Genomic DNA, 19,145 nt, shown 5'->3' with positions numbered 1-19,145 from the left:
TCACCTGAAAAAAAGGTGAACACAAATGACAAAGAAGTTATTTCCAACTGCAGCCTTCTATTCCCTTAATATCACAAGCAGTCCAGACCATGGCCCCATTTTCAGATGGGAGTACTCTAACACACAGGGAATATTTGGAGTGCAAACTGGGGCCATCCTGGCAAACTCTCAATTTGAGGGCTTTCAAACACGGAGCCAAATGCGAGTGGGATGGATTGATACTGGGTGGGATGTAGCTTCCACACTTGCCTCTTCTTTTCCTGACTTCTATGTTCCTCGTCAGCCTAGAGTTTCCTTGGTCTGGCTCAATGTCTTCCAAACTCAACCATTCCCAGTTCATGGAAAATGACCCTCATGGGATTCCCTTGTGTGAGTATTTCCTCCTAAACACTGTTGTATTTTAATGACTGGGCAGCAGCGATACTTTTAAAACTGTAAATCCCTGCAACAGCCACAAACAAGGAAACTCTTGTTCTCCCACTTCTACAGAAAAGCTGCATGATTGCTGGAGGATGGTTTATTGTCCTACAGCCAACCCAAAAACGGCACTACCAGTCATGTTGCAGGGCCCCTTGAATTAACCTCGAATTAGGTTTCCAGATGAGCAGGTGCTTCATGTTGTGAAGGGGCCCTCCTCCATCATCCTAGAATTTCATTCTGGGACACAGAGTGTGAGCAGCAATAAGGTCAGATATGGGTGAGGATACAATCTGGTGAAGGGTAGATGGGGTCCCATGCCTTCCCCTGTAGAAATGGTAAAAACAGATGACACAGAAGGTGCTTCCAACTGCATTTAAGCATTCCCTTAATTGCAAAAGGATTCCACACCATGGCCCAGTTTTCTGGTGTGAGTACTCCAAGTTTCAGGAAACAGTGTTAGTGTGAACTTTGGCAATGCTGGCAAGTTCCCTATTGGAGGGCTTCAGTACATGGAGCCAAGGGGGAGTGGAATGGAATGATGCTGTGTGGGATATGGCCTCCACACTTGCCTTTTCTTTTCCTCACTTTCATATTCTTCATTGGCCTAGAATTTCCTGGGTCTTGCTAAATGTCTTTCACACTAAATGTTTCCCAGTTCACAGAGGATGACCCTCATGGGAATGTATTTCATCAGTGTTTCCTTCTAAACACTGTCACATTTTAATGACAGAGCTGCTGTGATACTTTTAAAACCATAAATTCCCTTTACAGGCACCAACAGATAAATTCCTTTTTTTTTTTCTTAGACAGAGTTGCACTCCGTTGCCTGGGCTGGAGTGCAGCGTCATGATCTCCAGTCACTGCAAGCTCTGCCTCCCGGGTTCATGCCATTCTCCTGCCTCAGCCTCCTGAGTAGCTGGGACTACAGGTACCTGCCACAATGCCTGGCTAATTTTTTGTTCTTTTAGTAGAGATGGGGTTTCACCATTTTAGCCAGGATGGTCTCAATCTCCTGACCTCATGATCCTCCCACCTTAGCCTCCCAAAGTTCTAGGATTACTGGAATAAACCACCGTGTCCGGCCCTTGGGAAACACTTGTTCCCCACTTCTGTCAAAAGGCTGCATAATTCCAGTATGATGAGAAGCAGACAGCCATGTCTGGCTTTTTTCTGGTAATTTACACTCTGTTTTATTTCATCTGCAAATCCTTTCTCATTGTGGAGGGTGTATAGCATTGATTGTTGCTGGATAGGGCTGCCTCTATATACAGATTTCCTGCCACTGATTTCAGAAAGGTCTGTGGTCTGTTTGTGAGAGCTGAGGTTGTTTGCAGTTCTTGGGAGGCTTTTGGTTCCTCTGAGAGGAATCTTTGAAAGTTTCTTATATTCCAGCTCAGGTCAGCTCCTTCTCTCTGGCAAGCCTTGATTTTTCTTTCTTTCCAGGCTGGGTCCACTTTGCCCCTCAACAGCATTACTGGACACCTTTGTCAGACTAGCAATTTCCACAGACACCCTCTGTGAACATTTTTCAACATCATCTGCAGCAGTGAGAGGCCAGTTTGATGTGTAAGAATACTGCTTGACTTTGGACTTGCCTTTGTCATGGTTCCTGCCTTTCTCATAGATCTCCTGCCAGGACAAGGATGATAGGAGGCAAGGAAGTCAAGGGCCCAGCCCCATTCACTGAAAGCTGCCTCTGGGATCTCAGGTATGATTCCATCACATAAAATCCCCTCAACAACTCACCAGACTATATTCCAATCTCCGTGGGACCTGATTCTTGCACACAGCCTCTTTCACGAATGGAGCCAGAAGAGCAGTTTTCAGTGACCATCTCAGTTTGGAAAAGCCTCCTCCTTCAGTGGGTCTCAGCCACAGAGTCATCCCGAAGGGGCTCTAAGGTCAATAATTTTAGGGTCTGACAGTTGATTATCACAGACAGACTTTTTCATGATAGCAGATCATCTCTGTCTATATCATTTTCCTCTGCTTAGGCAGGCTGACAGCTCTGACAGCCAGGCACTTGAATCTACCTGGCAAATGTTCATGCTCTAGTCTCAGTGCAAAAGGCCTGTTTGGGAGTTCTGGCTAGTGTCACAATAAATGCCGCCATTGCCTAGTGACAAGTCAATGTGGATTGAGGGAGGAAACCTCTATGTAGGGGCATAGGTAGTGGACTCTCACCTGTCTTCTATGTAAATTGCATGGGATAGTCCTATGAGGCTAGGAGAGGGCAGACAGAAGCCAGCCTCAAGAAACTTCAAGGGCAGCCTCAGGAATAAACTGCAGCATTCCTAATGATTTAAAAGACATGCAGTATTTCTAATGCCTGCCTAGATGTTGCAGGGGTGAGTCATTTTGAAACTTGCCCCACTGTGATTTGTAGGTAAAGCATACCTCTGTTCCTGGGGTGGCTGTCTCCCAGGGGGGGCTTCCTGAAGAATCACAAAGCCTGAGAATCTGCCAAGCTTTGTTTTTCTGTTGAGAGTGTTGTGAGTGTTGGATGTTTGCATGTATGTGTGGCTGTGTGTGTGTGTGTGTGTGTGTGTAAGGGGAGTCTGCTTAAAACAATTTTGCTAAAGAACTGCAGCCCCCCCTTTTTCAAGTCTTCCAACTTTTTAGTGGATTGTCTCAGGCTGCGGGGCTTTGTATTCTTTCTTTTTCTATGGATTATGACTCTGTAATGAAGTCTAAGGCAGGATGAGACCTGCCAGGTAACAAACCACCTCCTTCTCCCAACAAAAACCACTTTCCTAGAAAGAAGACCACACCACTCCCAAGAACAGACATCTCCCAGTGTTTTATCGTCCTTCAGCCAACCCAGGGAGAGACAGCAGCAGTCCTGTCTGCAGGGCTTTTTAAATGTAGCTCAAATTCAGTTCCCAGCCAAGCAACTGCTTCACGTCGTGAAGGAGAATTCCTCTATCATCGTGAGATTTCATTCTAGAACAGAGAATGTCAGCAGCAATAAGGTCACAGAGAGATGAAGATATAATGTGGTGAGGGGTGGATGAGAACCTGCACCTTCACATGTAAAAAAGATGAAGACAGAAGACAGAAGGTGCTTCACACTGCATCCCTGCATTCCCTTAATTGCACAGCAGTCCACGCCATGGCCTGATGTTGAGGTGGTAGTACTACAAGGTGCAGGGAACATTTGGAGTGCAAACTGAAGCCATCTTGCAAACTGTCAATTTGAGGGCTTTCATACTAGAGCCAAATGGGAGTACGATGAATTTATCCTAGGTAGGATGTGGCATCCACACTTGCCTCTTTTTTTCCTGACTTCCATGATCCTCACCAGCCTAGGGTTTTCTGGGTTTGGCTCAATATCTTCCACACTAAACATTTCCCCATACAGTGATTATGACCCTTATGAGAATCCATTGTGAGTATTTCATATTAACAATGTCACATTTTAACATTTTAATTACTTGGCAGCTGTGATACTTTTAAAACCAAGATTTCCTGTTACAGCTGCCATCAAGGAAACTCTTGTTCTACCACTTCTATCGGGGGATGCAAGATTTCTGTAGGGTGAGAAGCAGGAAGCCATATCTCACTTTTGCCTGGCATTCTAGGCACTATTCCATTTCATCTGCACATCCTTTCTCATTGTGGAAGGGACCTTTCACTGGACTGTTGCTGGATGGTACTACCTCTCATCACAGATCTTTTGGATGCCAGGGATTTCAGGGAGCAAAAGAAACTTTGGTTATGCTGGCTGAAATCCAGGTTGTAAGCCATGGTGTCATCATAGGGGCTGAGGTTGTTTGCACTTTACAGGAGGCTTTTGGGTCCTCTGACAGGAATCTTTGAACATTGCTTGGACTGCAGCCCAAGTCAGATCATTCTTTCAGGCGAGCATTGATTTTTCTTTGCTTTCATAAGGTATGCATAGTGCCCATCAACAGCAGTACTTGACACACTTTTCAGGTTTGCATGGCCACAGACAGCCTTGGAGACACTGTCTCAATCTCATCTGCACCTGTGAGAAGACAGTCCGCGGTGTGAGAACACTGCTCCATCTTGGACTTGCCTTTTTGAGGTTGCTGCCTTTCCCAGACAGCCCCTGCGAGGTCCAAAATAAAGGGAGGCAGTGAGGACAAGAGACCGGCCATCTTTCTCTGACACCCACCTTTGGGGTCTCAGATATGATTCTATCACCCAAAAAATCCTCAACAACTCACCAGACAATACTCCAATCCTCATGGGACCTGATACTTGCACATAGACTTTTTCATAAATGGAGTCTGAAGAGCAGTTTCCAGAAACCAAGTCACCATCTTGAAACACCTTCTCCTCCAGCGGGAACCTGTCACGGAGATGAATGGAAGGGGCCCTGAGTTTGTGAATTTTAAAGTCCCGCAGTTGGTTTTCACAGGCAGACTTTGTCCTGATACCAGGCCATCTCTGCTTGTACTATTTTCCTCTGCTGAGGCAGGCTGACAGCTGTGACAGTCAGGTGCCTGAGCCACCCTCACGAATGCACATGTGCTAGTCTCAAGGTAGCAGGCCTGATTGTGAGCTTTGGCAAAAGTTACAAAAAGGGTCACCATTGCCTAGTGACAAGTCCCTGCCTCTTGCCAGAGAAGGAGACCACTGGGGAGGTGTGTCAGTGGTATACTGTCACCTATCTTCTCTGTGAAATCCACAAATAGTCTCATGATCCTGGGAGAAGGCCTGGGGCTTGGTAGAGAAGGAGAATTCTGTGGAGGTCCATCGGCGGTGGAACCACACCTGTCTTCTCTGTGGGATTCACAGGATAGTCCTAGAAAAGGGCAGACGTGAGACAGACTGAGGAAACATCAAGAAGAGGAATAAATGGTGAACTGCCTAAGGATCCAAAAGGATTTGCAGGATTCCTCAGGCCTGCCTAGAAGTTGCAGGTGTGAGTCTTTTAGAAACCTGTCCCAACGTGATTTATAGGTAAAACCTGCCTGTGTTCCTCAGGGTTGCTCTCTCCCAGGTGGGGATTTCTGATGAACCATGCAGCCTCAGTAGCTGCCAGGCAGTGTGTTTCCATGGGAATGTTGCAAGTGTTGGATGTCTTTGTGGGTACGTGTGGCATTGTGTGTTTGTGTGTGTGTTTGTGTGCCTGTAGGTGGAGTCTGCTTAAAGGAATGTGGCTAATGCACTGCAGCACTTCTTTTATTTTTGAGTCTCTTATACTTATGGTGGCCTGTCTGTGTGGCTCAGCTTGGGTTGTGGGGCTTCCTGTTATTTGTCTGTGGATCATGAATCTGCAGTGAATTGGGAGGTGGGCTGAGACACGCAGGCATCGAAATCACCTCCCCTGCAACAAAAGCCACTCGTCTATAAAGATGAGCACACCATACCAAAAAAAAAAAAAAAAAAAGACATCTCCCAGTGTTTTATTGTCCAGAGTCCAAACCAGAAAGTGACCCTCACAGATCTGTGTGCATGGCCCCTTGAATTTAGCTTGGATTCAGTCTCCAGCTGAGCAGATGCTTCATGTCATGAGGAAGATCTCCTTCATCATCTTGGAATTCATTCTGGGACATAGATTGTGAGCAGAAATGAGGTCAGATGGGGTGAAGATACAATCTGGTGAGGGGTGGAAGTAATCCCCCAACTTCACCTGCAAAACATAAAGGCAGAAAACACAGAAGGTTCTTCCAACTTTATCTCTGCATCCCCTTAATTGCACAAGCAGTACACACCATGGCCCAGTGTTCTGGTGGGAGTACTTTAACCTGCAAGGAATATTTGGAGGGCAAATTGGGGCCATTTTTGCAAACTCTCCATTTAAGAGCCTTCATACATGAGCCAAATGGGAGCAGAATTGATTGATTCTGTATTGGATGTGGCCTCCGTACTTGCCTCTTTTCCCCTGACTTCTACGTTTCTCGTCAACCTAGGGTTTCCTGTTTCTGGCTCAATGACTTCCACACTACATGTTTCCTAGTTCACAGAGAACGACCCTCCTGGGAATCCATTGCATGAGTGTTTCCTTCTAAACATTGTCACCTTTTAAAGACTGGGAAGCTTTGATAGTTTTAAAACGGTAAATTCTTGTTACACCCACCAACAAGGAATCTGTTTTTTTTCCCACTTCTATCACAGGGTTGCATGTTTCCTCTAGGATGAGAAGGAGGCAGCCATGTCTGGCTTTAGCCTGATAATCTAGCCCCTGTTTCATCTCATCTGCATGGACTTCTCATTGTGGAGGGGCCCTTTCACTGGGCTGTTGCTGGCTAGGACTGCCACTTGCCACAGATTATTTTGCTGCCAGGGATTTCAGAGAGTAAAAGGGACTTTGATAAACTGGCTGCACTCCATATTGTGGATCATTGTCTCATCGTAGAGGCTGCAGTTGTTTGCACTTTGCAGGAGGCTTTTGGTTTCTGACAGGAATCTTGAACATTGCCTGGACTCCAGCAAAGGCAGCTCATTCTTAGGTGAACCTTGGTTTTTCTTTGTTTTCTTGGGGAATCCATAGTGCCCCCCAACAGCAGCACTGCACACCATTTTCAAGCTTGCCATCACCACAGATGGCCTCTGAGACACTGTCTCAACTACATCTGCACAAGTGAGAGGCCATTCCGAGATGTGAGAACACTGCTCCACATTAGACTTGCCTTTGTTATGGTTCTTGCCTTTCATAGATAGCCCCTGCAAGGCTCAGAATGAAGGGAGGCATTCAGTTCAAAAGCCCAATCATCTTTTGCTGACATCCACTTCTGGTGTCTCAGGTATGTTTCTGTCGCCCAAAGAACACTCAACGACACACCAGATTATATTCCAACCCCCTTGGGACCCAATTATTGCACACACCCTCTTTCGCTAATGGAGTTAGAAGAGCAGTTTCCAGCGACCACATCGCAGTCGCGAAACACCTCTTCCTCCAGCGGGACCTGAACAAGGAAATGGCCAGCAGGGTCCCTGAGGTCGAGATTTTCAGGGTCCTGCAGTGGGTTTTTATAGTCAGCCTTTTTCCCGATACCAGGCGGGCTCTGCCTGTTCCATTATCCCCTGCTGAGGCAGACTGACAGCTCTGACAACCTGACTTGAGTCTGCCTCACAAATGCGCATGCGCTAGTCTCAGGGTACCTGATCCGATTGTGAGCTCTGTCTAGCATCGCTATAAATGTCACCGTTGCCTAGCAAGAAGTATCTGCATCTTGGAAAAGGGGACCTCCGTGGAGGAGCGTCAGCTGTGTCTTCTCGTCTGTCTTCTCTGTGAAATCCACGGATAGTCTCATGATCCTAGGAGAGGGTAGACGTTAGCCAGCGTGAAGAAACAAGCATAGCTACAGGAATAAACCACAAAATCCTTAAGCATCCAGAAACATCTGCAAGATTTGGTAGGCCTGCCTAGACATTGTACGGGTGAATCTTTTTGAAACTTGCCCTACTGTGGTTTCTAGGTACAGCCTGCCTATGTTCCTTGGGGTTGCTCTCTCCTAGGTGGGAATTCCTGCAGAGCCATGCATCCTCATGCACTGCTGAGCTATGTTTTTCTGTGGGAGTGTTGCAACTGTTGGATGTGTGTGTGTGTGTGTGTGTTTTTCATTGTGTGTTTAAGAATGTGTTTGTTGCTGTAAGTGGAGTCTGCTTAAATAATGTGTCTAATGCACTTCAGTGCCTCTTTTTTTTTTTTTTTTGAATGTTTCAATCTTTGTTGGCCTCTCTGTTGCTTTGTTTGTGCTGTGGGGCTCCGTGTTCTTTATTTTTCTGTGGATCATGAATCTGCAGTGAATCGGGAGGTGGGCCAAGACATGCAGGTGTCAAAATCAACTCCTCCTGAAAGAAATAAAACAAAAAAGAGCCACTCTTCTAGAAAGAAGAGGAGCACACCACACCAGAAACAGACATCTTGCAGTGTTTCACTGTCTCAACCTTATCTGCACAGTCCGAGGTCAGTCTGAGGTAAGAGAATAACCACAACTGCATAGTGAAAGACCAGTCTGAGGTATGAGAACACTCCTCCACCTCGGACTTGCCATTGTCGTGGTTTCTACCTTTCCCAGAGAGCTTCTGAGAGACCCAGGATGAAGGGATGCAGTGAGGTCAAGAGCCCAACCTTCTTTCACTGACACCCACCTCTAAGGACTCAGGTATGATTGTATCACCCAAAGAACCCTCAACAACACAACAGATCATATTCCAATTCTTATGGGACCAGATTATTGCACACAGCCTGTTTCAAAAATGGAGACAGAAGGGCAGTTTCCAGTGAACAGGTTACTATCTAAAAATACCTCCTCCTGAAGGGGCCCTGAGGTTGAGACATTTAGGGTCACACAGAGGGTTTTCAAACACAGCCTTTTTTATCAACAACAGGCCTACTCTGCCTGTATTATTTTTCTCTGCTTAGGATGTCAGCTTGCTTAAACACAGGGAAAAACATCTGCAGGACTTCTCAGGCCAGCCTAGACATTGTAGGCATGAGTCTTTTGAAACTTGTCCAACTGTGATTTCTAGGTATAGCCAACTGGGGTTTCTTGTGGTTGCTGTCTCCCAGGTTGGGATTCTTGCAGAATCACATAGCCTCAGGAGTGCTGAGCTCTGTTTTCCTGTGGGAGTGTTGTGAGTGTTGGATGTCTGCGTGTGTGTGTGGCATTGGGTGTGCACATGTGCGCCTGACAGTAGAGTGTGCTGGAAATTACATGGCTAACCCGCTTCAGCCCTTTTCCCTTCTTTTTTTTTTTAGTCTCCCAACATTTCTGGCGGAGCATTTCAAGTGTTGGATGTCTGCATGTTTGTGTGGTATTGTGTGTGTGTGTGTGTGTGTGACTGTAAGTGAAGTCTGCTTAAAAGCATATTACTTATGCACTCCAGTGCTTTCTGTTTTTGAGTCTTCCAACATTTTGGTGGCCTGTGTTTCTCTGCTTGGGCTGTGGGACTCTCTCCAGGTAGTGCTTCGTGCAGCCTCGGTAGCTGCTGGGCTGTGTATTTCTGTGGGAGTATAGTGAGTGTAGGATGTCTGAATGTGTGTGTGGCATTGTGTGTTCAAAAAAAGCCACTCTTCTAAAAAGAAGAGGAGCACACCATGCCCAAAAGAGACATCTCCTAGTGTTTCATTGTCGTGAGGCCAACCCAGGCATAGACACTAGCAGTCCTGTCCACTGGGCACTTTGAATTAACCTTGAATTTGGTTCCCAGCTGAGCAGGTGATTCACATCTTGTGGTGGGGGGGCACTCTCCATCATCTTTTGATTTCATCCTGGGACATAGAGTATGAGCAGGAATAAAGTCAGATAGCTTTAAGGACAAAATCTCGTGAGGGGTGTATAAGGTTTTGCAACATCACTTGCAAAAAAAAAATGAAGATAGATGACACAGAATCTGCTTCCAAGTAAATAGCCTGGTTTTCAGGTGGACATGAAGAGAATATTTTGAGAACAAACTGGGGCCATCTGGAGAACTCTCAATGTGAGGGCTTTCATAACCGGAGCCAAATGAGAGTGTGATGGATTGATGCTGGGTGAGTGTAGCCATCACACTTGCGTCTTCTTTTCCTGACTTCCATGTTCCTCTTTGGCCTAGGGTTTTCTGGGTCTGGTTCCATATCTTCCACACTAGAAGTTTCCCAGTTCATGGAGGACCACTCTTATGTGAATCCATTGCATCATTGTTTCTTTCTTAATTCTGTCACGTTTTAATGACTAGGCAATATGAGACTTTTAAAGGCATAAATTCCCATTACAACCATCCATATGGAAACTTTTATTATCCCTCTTTTATTGAAGGGTTGCATGATTCCTGTAGGATGAGAGGCAGGCAGCCATGTTCTGCATTTTCCTGCTAATCTTGGCTCTGTTTCACTTCATCTGCATGTCCTTCCTTGCTGTGGAGTGGGTCTATCATTGGCTCTTGCTAGATGGGACTGCCTCTTGCTATAGATCTTTTCAGTGCCAGGAATTTCAGGAAGCCAAAAGGACTTTGCATACGGTGGCTATGCACCAGGTTGTGGATCATGGTGTCCTTGTAGGGGCTGATGTTGTTTGCACTTTGCAGGAGGCTTTTGGGTCCTCTGACAGGAATCTTTGAACTTTGCTTGTACTCCTGCACAAGTCAGCTTGTTCGTTCAGGCGAGCTTTCATTTTTCTTTGCTTTCATGGGGAGTCCACATTGCCCCTCATCAGCACTACTGGACACCCTTTTCTGTCTTGCAATTGCCATGGACCACCTCAGAGATACTCTCTCAACCACATCTGCATCCGAGAAAGGCCAGTTTGAGGTGTGAAAACAATGCTTTATCTGGGACTTGCTTTTGTTGTGGTTCCTGTATTTCCCAGAGAGGAACAAATACTTGCTTTTGTTGTGCTTCCCTGTATTTCCCCTGTGAGGCCCAGGATGAAGGGAGTCAGTGATGTCAACGGCCCAGCCATCTTTCACTGACACCACTCTCTTGGGTCTCAGTGATGATTCCATCACCCAGAGATGCTTCAAAAACTCACCAAATGGTATTTCAATCCCCATGGGAATTAACTCTTGCACACATCCTCTATTGGGAATAGAGGCAGAGGTGCAGATTGCAGTGACCCCTTCACAGTCTCAAAATGACTTCTTCTGTGGAACCCAACCTTAGAGACTGCCCAAAAGGGCCCTATCATCTATATTTTTGTGTCCAGTGGTGGCTTATTACAGGCAGCATTTTTCCCTATACCAGGAAGGCTCTGCCTGTACCATTTTCCTCTGCTTAGGCAGACTGACAGCTCTGAAGGGTGCCTTAGCCTGCCTCAGGAATGCCTAATGAGGCAACTTGAAGATGGATTGTTTGATATTGTTCAGTGTAAGGAAGAGAAACAAGAATAATGATCAAAACTAAGGTTTCCATGGGACACCATCAAGAATATCAACATATTCATAATGGGAGTCCCACTGGAATAGGTGAGATGGGGAAAAAAAGAATATTTAAATGAATAGTGGCTGAAACTTCCCAAAAGTGTCGATAGATGCAAATCTACTGATCCAAGTATCTCTAAAGAACACAATACTCCAGGGAGAATAAAATCCAAGATATCCACACTGAAACACATGCACTGAAATTGACAGAAGACAAATAAATAGAGAACTTTAAAAGAATCAAGACAGAAGTAACTCATCACATGCAAGTTATCCTTCATAACATTAACAGCCAATTTCTCATTAAAAATTATAGTGGAAAGAAGTCACTGTGATGAGATCTTTAAAGTGCTGGAATAAGAAGATAAAGTCAATCATAAACTCAATATCTGGCCAAACAAAAATTTAACTTTATGAGCAAATAAGGCATTTCCAAGCAAACATAATTAAAGAGAGTACATTACTACTAGATCAGCCTTACAAAACATGATGAAAACAAGCAAGGAATGAAAGAAAAATAGTGCCCCATGTGCAAATAAAGAAATAAGAACATCAATAAAATAATTACGTCACGAAATAGAAAAGCCAATATTATTATATTTGGGTTTTCTGTGACTTTATTTTTCTACTGGATTTAAAAGTATCTCACAACTGTAATCCCAACAAAGTAGGGGGATTTCCTTGAGTCTGGGAGTTTGAGACCAGCCAGGGCAACAAAATGTGACCGTCTTTTGAGAAAATAAACAAAATTAGCCAGCTGTGGTGGCATGGACTTCTGTCCCCAGAACATAGGGCACTGAGTTGGAAGGGTCCCTTGAGCCCAGGAGCTCGAGGCTGTAGTGAACCATGTTTAGCCTGTGTGACTGAAACCCTGTCTCAATGAATTAAAATACAATACAATAATAAAATAAAGAAATGACAAAAAATAAAGCAATAATTACACATCTGGGTTGTTAGCAAATGTTGCATAACAAACTATTTTTGACAAAAAAATAGAAAGTTGGGGAAAACAGTATGGGAAAATGATTTTTGTATAATGTCAATGCTCAGTTGTTATAATTCACACTATATTATTATTAATTCAAGATATTAATTATAATACCATTAATAACTTGTCCTTTTTATGGCTGCATAGTATTCCACGGTTTATATGTGCCATATTTTCTTAATCCAGTCTATCATTGATGGACAATTTGGTTGGTTTCAAGTCTTTGCTATGGTGAATAGTGCGATAATAAACATACGTGTGCATGTATCTTTATAGCAGCATGATTTATAACCCTTTGGGTATATACTCAGTAATGGGATTGCTGGGTCAAATGGTAATTCTAATTTTAAATCCTTGCGGAATTACCACACTGTCTTCCACAATGGTTGAACTAATTTACACTCTCCCAAACAGTGTAAAAGCATTCCTATTTCTCCACATCCACACCAGCGTCTGTCGTTTCCTGACTTTTTAATGATTGCCGTTCCAAGTGGCTTGAGATGATATCTCATTTTGGTTTTGATTTGCATTTCCCTGTTGACCAGTGATGATGAGCATTTCTTCATGTGTCTGTTGGCTGCATAAATGTCTTCTTTTGAGAAGTGTCTGTTCATATCCTTTGCCCTCCTTTTGATGAGGTGTTTTTTTTTTTTAATGAAAATTTGTTTGTGTTCTTTGTAGATTCTGATATTAGCCATTTGTAAGATGGGTAGATTGCAAAAATTTTCTCCCATTCTGTACGTTGCCTGTTCACTCTGATGGTAGTTTCTTTTGCCATTCAGAAGTTCTTTAGTTTAATTAGATCTTATTTGTCTATTTTGGCCTCTGTTGCCATTAATTTTGGTGTTTTAGTCATGAAGTACTTGCCCATGCCTATGTCCTGAATGGTATTGTCTATGTTTTCTTCTAGGGTTTTTACGGTTTTATATTTAATATTTAAGTCTTTAATTCATATTGAATTAGCTTTTATGTAAGGTGTAAGGAAGAGATCCAGTTTCAGCCTTCTAAAAATGGCCAGCCCCTTTTCCCAGCACCATTTACGACATAGGGAGTCAATTCCCCATTTCTTCTTTTTGTCAGATTCATCAGAGATAAGATGATTGCAGATGTGTGGTATTATTTCAGAGGCCTCTTTTCTGTTCCATTGGTCAATACATCTCTTTTGGTACAAGTACCATACTGTTTTGTTTACTGTAGGCTTGTAGTATAGTTTGAAGTCAGGTAGCATGATGTCTCCAGCTTTTTTTTTCTTCTTCTTCTTAGGATTATCTTAGCAATATGGCCTATTTTTGGGCTCCATATGAACTGTACCTTTTTTTTTCCAAATCTCTGAAGAAAGTCACTGGTGGCTTGATGGGAATGGCATTGCTTGTATAAATTACTTTGGACACTATGGCCATTTTCAAGGTATTCATTCTTCATACTCATTATCGTAGAATATCCTTCCATTTGTTTCTGTCCTTTTTGATTTCGTTGAGCAGTGTTTTGTAGTTTTTCCTGAAGAGGTCCTTCACATTCCTTGTAAGCTGGATTCCTAGGTATTTTATACTCTTTGAAGCACTTGTGAATGGGAGTTCACTTGTGATTTGGCTCTCTGTTTGTCTGTTAATGGTGTACAGGAGTGTTTGTGATTTTTGCACACTGATTTTGTATGCTGAGACTTTGCTGAAGTTGCTTATCAGCTTAAGTAGATTTTGGGCTGAGACAATGGGTTTTCTCAATATACAATCATGTTATCCGAAAACAGGGACAATTTGACTTCCTCTTTTCCTTATTGAATACCCTTTATTTCTTTCTCTTGCCTGATTGCCCTGGACAGAACTTCCAACACTATGTTGAATAGGAATGGTGAGAGAGGGCATCCTTGTCTTGTGCCGGTTTTCCAAAGGAATGCCTCCAGTATTTGTCCACTCTGTCGGATATTGTCTGTGGGTTTGTCAGTAGCTTTTATTATTTTGAGATATGTTCCATCAATACCTAGTTTATTGAGAGTTTTTAGCATGAAGGGTTGTTGAATTTTGTCAAAGGCCTTTCCTGCATCTATTGAGATAATCATGTGATTTTTGTCATTGGTTCAGTTTATATGATGGATTAGGTATATTGATTTACATAAATTGAACCACATTTGCATCCCAGGGATGAAGCTGATGTGATAGTAGTAGATAAGCTTTTTGTTGTGCTGATGGATTCAGTTTGCCAGTATTTTATTGAGGATGTTCGCATGGATGTTTATCTGGGCTATTGGTCTAAACTTCTCTTTTTGCTTGTGTGTCTCTGCCAGGCCTTGGTATCAGGATGAAGTTGTCCTCATAAAATGAGTTGGGGAGGATTCTCTCTTTTTTTTATTGATTGGAATAGTTTCAGAAGGAATGGTACCAGTCCCTCTTTGTACCTCTGGTAGAATTTGGGTGTGAATCCACCTGGTCCTGGGCTTTTTTTTGGTTGGTAAGCTATTAATTATTTACTCAATTTCAGAGGCTGTTGCTAGTCTATTCAGAGATTCAACTTCTTCCTGGTTTAGTTTTTGAAGGGTGTATGTGTCCAGGAATTTATCCATTTCTTCTAGATTTTCTAGTTTATTTTGTTAGAGGTGTTTATAGTATTCTCTGAGGGTAGTTTGTACTTCTGTGGGATCGATGGTGATATCCCCTTTATCATTTTTTATAGCTTCTATTTTATTCTTCTCTCTTTGCTTCTTTATTAGCCTTGCTAGGGGTCTTTCAATTTTGTTGATCTTTTCAAAAAAAAAAAAAAAAAAAAAAAAAAAAACCCAGTTCCTGGATTCATTGATTTTTTGAAGGGTTTTTTGTGTCTCTATCTCTTTCCGTTCTGCTCTGCTCTGATCTTAGTTATTTCTTGCCTTCTGCTACCTTTCGAATTTGTTTGCTCTTGCCTCTCTATTTCTTTTAGTTCTGATGTTAGGTTGTCAATTTTATATCTTTCCTGCTATCTTTTGTGACATTTACTGCTATACATTTCCCTCTGCCCACTGCTTTAAATGTGTTTCAGAGATTGTGGCATGTTGTGTCTTTGTTCTCATTGGTTTCAAGGAATGTCTGTATATCTGCCTTCATTTTGTTATTTACCCAGCAATCATTCAGGAGCAAGTTGTTAAGTTCCCCTGTAGTTGTGCAGTTTTGAGTGAGTTTCTTAATGCTGAGTTCTAATTTGATTACACTGTGGTCTGAGAGACACTTTGTTGTGATTTCTGTTCTTTTACAATTGCTGAGGAGTGCTTTACTTCAGGTTATGTGGTCAATTTTAGAATAAGTGTGATGTGGTGCTGAGAAGAATGTATATGCTCTTGATTTAGGGTGGAGAGTTCTGTAGGTGTCTATTAGGCCAGTTTGTTACAGAGCTGAGTTTAAGTGCTGGATATCCTTGTTAACCTTCTGTCTCATTGATCTGTTGATTAATGAGACAACATTGACTGTGGGGTGTTGAAGTCTCCCATTATTATTGTGTGGGTGTCTAAGTCTCTTTGTAGGTCTCTAAGGACTTACTTTCTGAATCTGGGTTGTGTATTGGGTGAATATATATTTAGAATTCTTAGCTCTTCTTCATGAATTGATCCCTTTATCATTAGGTAATGGCCTTCTTTGTCTCTTTTGATCTTTGTTCGTTAAAAGTCTGTTTTATCAGAGGCTAGGATTGCAACTCCTACTTATATTTTTTTCTGCTTTCCATTTGCTTGGTATATCTTCTTCCATTCATTTATTGTGAGCTTATGTGCATCTTTGCATGTGAGATGGGTCTCCTGAATACAGCACACTGATGGATCTTGACTCTTTATCCAATTTACCCATCTGTGTCTTTGAACTGGGGCATGTAGCCTCTTTACACTTAAGGTTAATATTGTTATGTGTAAATTTGGTCCTGTCATTATGACGTTGGCTGTGTAGTTTGCCTGTTAATTGATACAGTCTCTTGATAGCATCGATGGTCTTTAAAATTTGCTTTTGCAGTTGCTGATACTGGTTGTTTTTTTCCATGTTTAGTGTTTCCTTCAGGAACTCTTGTAAGGCAGGCCTGGTCGTGACAGAATCTCTCAGAATTTCCTTATTTTTAAAGGATTTTATTTCTGCTTCACTTATAAAGCTTAGTTTGGCTGGATATGAAATTCTGTGCTGAAAATTCTTTTCTTTAAGAATGTTGAATATTCGCCCCCACTCTCTTCTGGCTTGTAGGGTTTCTGCTAAGAGATCCAATGTTAGTCTGATGGGCTTCCCTTTGTGGGTAACTCAACCTTTCTCTCTGTCTGACCTTAACACTTTTTCCATCATGTCAACCTTGGTGAACCTGACAATTGTATGTCTTGTGGTTGCTTTTCTCAAGGAGTATCTTTGTGGCATTCTCTGTATTTCCTGAATTTGAATGTTGGCCTGCCTTGTTAGGTTGGGGAAGTTCTCCTGGATAATATCCTGAAGAGTGTTTTCTAAGTTGGTTCCATTCTTTCCATCACTTTCAGATACACCAATTAAACTTAGATTTGGTCTTTTCACTTAGTCCCATATTTCTCAGAGATTTTGTTTCTTTTTACTCTTTTTTCTCTAACCTTGTCTTCTCAGTTTATTTTATTAATGAGATCTTCAATCACTGATACCCTTTCTTCCACTTGATTGAATCAGCTACTGAAGCTTGTGCATGCATGACAAAGTTCTTGTGCCACAGTTTTCAGCTCCGTCAGGTCATTTAAAATCCTCTCTACACTATTTATTCTAGTTAGCCATTCATCTCATCTTTTTCCAAGGTTTTTAGCTTCCTTGTGATAGATTGGAACATGAAACTTTAGCTCAAATAGTTTTGTTATTACCAACCTCCTGAAGCCTACTTCTGTCAGCTCATCAGATTCATTCTCTGTCCAGTTTTGTTGCATTGCTTGTGAGGAATTGTGATCCATTGCAGAAGAAGCACTCAATTTTTAAAACTTTCAGCTTTTCTGCTGTAGTTTCTCTCCATCTTTGTGGTTTTATCTACCTTGTGTCTTTGATGTTGTTGACCTACAGATGGAGTTTTGGTGTAGATGAACTTTTTGCTTATGTTGATGCTCTTCCTTTCTATTTGTTAGTTTTCCTTCTAACACTTAGGTCCCTCAGCTGCAGGACTTTTGGGATTTGGTGTAGTCCACTGCAGATTGTGTTTGCCTGGGTGTCACCAGCAGAGGATGCAGAACAGCAAATATTTCAGAACAGCAAATATTGCTGCCTGATCCTTCCTCTGGAAACTTCATCCCAGAGGGGCAGCTGCCTATATGAGGTGTCTGTCAGCCCCTACTGGGAGCTGTCTCCCAGATAGGTTACACAGGGGTCAGGGACAGATGAGAGGAGGCAGCCTGTCCATTCTCAGACTTCAAATGGCATGCTAGGAGAACCACTGCTCTCTTCAGAGCTGTCAGACAGGGACATTTAAGTCTGCCAAAGTTGTCTGCTGCCTTTAGTTCAACTGTGCCCTGCCCACAGAGGTGTAGTCTACAGGCAGTAGGCCTTGTTGAGCTGTGGTGGGCTCCACCCAGTTTTAGCTTCCTGGGTGCTTTGTTTACCTGCTCAAGACTTAGCAATTGTGAACGCCTTTCTACCAGCCAGGCTGCCACATCAGAGCTTGATCTCAGACTGCTGCGCTAGCAGTGAGCAAGGCTCTGTGGGCATGGGACCCACCAAGCCAGGCATGGGACCCACCAAGCTAGGCATGGGAGAGAATTACTTTGTCTGCTGGATGCTAAGACCTTGGGTAAAGTGCAGTATTTGGGCAGGAGTGCTCCGTTTTTCCAGGTAGTCTGTCACAGCTTCCCTTGGCTAGGAAAGGGAAATTCCCCGACTGCTTGCACTTCACAGGAGGGGTGATGCCCTGCCCTGCTTCAGCTCATTCACTGTGGGCTGCACCCACTGCCCTGCCATTCCCAATGAGATGAACCAGATACCTCAGTGGGAAATGCAGAAATCACTGATCTTCTGCATTGATCATGCTGGGAGCTGCAGACTGGAGCTGTTCCTATTTGGCCATCTTGGAACACCCTCAGAAAAAAATAGGATGCATTTTTAAAGGTTTTTTTTTTTTTTTTTTTTTGAGATGGGGTCTCATTCTGTTGTCCAGGCTGCAGTGCAGTGGTGTGGAGAGTGCTTCCTCCACACACTTCCCTGTCCCTTTCAATCAACTGGCTGTGAGATCACTGAAACCAGAGATCTCAGGTTCAGAACAGGCCCAAGTGGGGTTGTGGCTGCCCCTCTGCATTTCAAGGTCACTGTGTGGCATAATGAGGTCTTTGGCTGCAGAAAAGGGCATTGCGTTTTCTGAGGAGGGCTTGGTGAGTTGATTTGAGAGACAACACAAGCACCAAGATTTGGAATGTCCCAGGTTAGTGTTGGGGAAACCAGCCACATAAGACCCAGTGGGTACCCCGAATCTGGAGGAGACAAAGGTGTTAGAAAGAGACAGAATAAGCACTTAAAAGGTAGGTCCAGGGCACCAGAGCATTGGAGACTTGCTCATGGCCTGGAGCTCTCAGGCTCCACCCAATTTATTGGTTTACAAATTCTTTGTCCTTAAGGAGATGGGAGGGGGAGGAAGGAATAAGGAAAAGGATTAAGCAGTGAAGGAGAACTCATCAGCCATTCAATAAGATGTATAGCACTGGTGGTTTCTGTGAATTTCCTTGAGCAAAGGCATGTGTCTAAACTACTTAAGATCTTCAACTTATCATGACTGAAATGGGTGGGAGTGGGTTTCAGGAGGAGCCAAGATGTTTTATTATATTCCACTGCTTCAAGGGAACGTTATCTTCCTGAGCAACCAGTGGAATGCCGCTGAGTGGTTATGCTCTGGGGGCATAAATACATGAAGGTAATAAGGAGATTTTTCTTCTCAGAGGCTGCCCATGGCTCCCCATGGGTGTCTCATACAGGGGAGACCAACTTAATTGGCACCC

General features: G+C 43.3%; 1 long non-coding RNA gene across 1 annotated transcript in view; it reads left to right on the top strand.

The window, feature by feature from the left end:
• LOC102725532 (uncharacterized) overlaps nt 1-2,541 on the top strand; it is a 45,849-nt gene extending 43,308 nt beyond the window's left edge. Inside the window, exons 10-13 of the long non-coding RNA XR_001756092.1 lie at nt 284-369; nt 490-686; nt 1,231-1,348; nt 1,864-2,541. This is a non-coding gene — a long non-coding RNA (uncharacterized LOC102725532). The remainder of the gene's footprint in view (nt 1-283; nt 370-489; nt 687-1,230; nt 1,349-1,863) is intronic.
• The last annotated feature ends 16,604 nt before the right edge of the window (nt 2,542-19,145 follow it).

This window comes from Homo sapiens, chromosome Y (assembly GCF_000001405.40).
Source record: "Homo sapiens chromosome Y, GRCh38.p14 Primary Assembly".
Lineage (NCBI taxonomy): Eukaryota > Metazoa > Chordata > Mammalia > Primates > Hominidae > Homo > Homo sapiens.
Note: the sequence above shows the minus strand (reverse complement) of the source record. Positions and strands in the feature narration are given on the sequence as shown.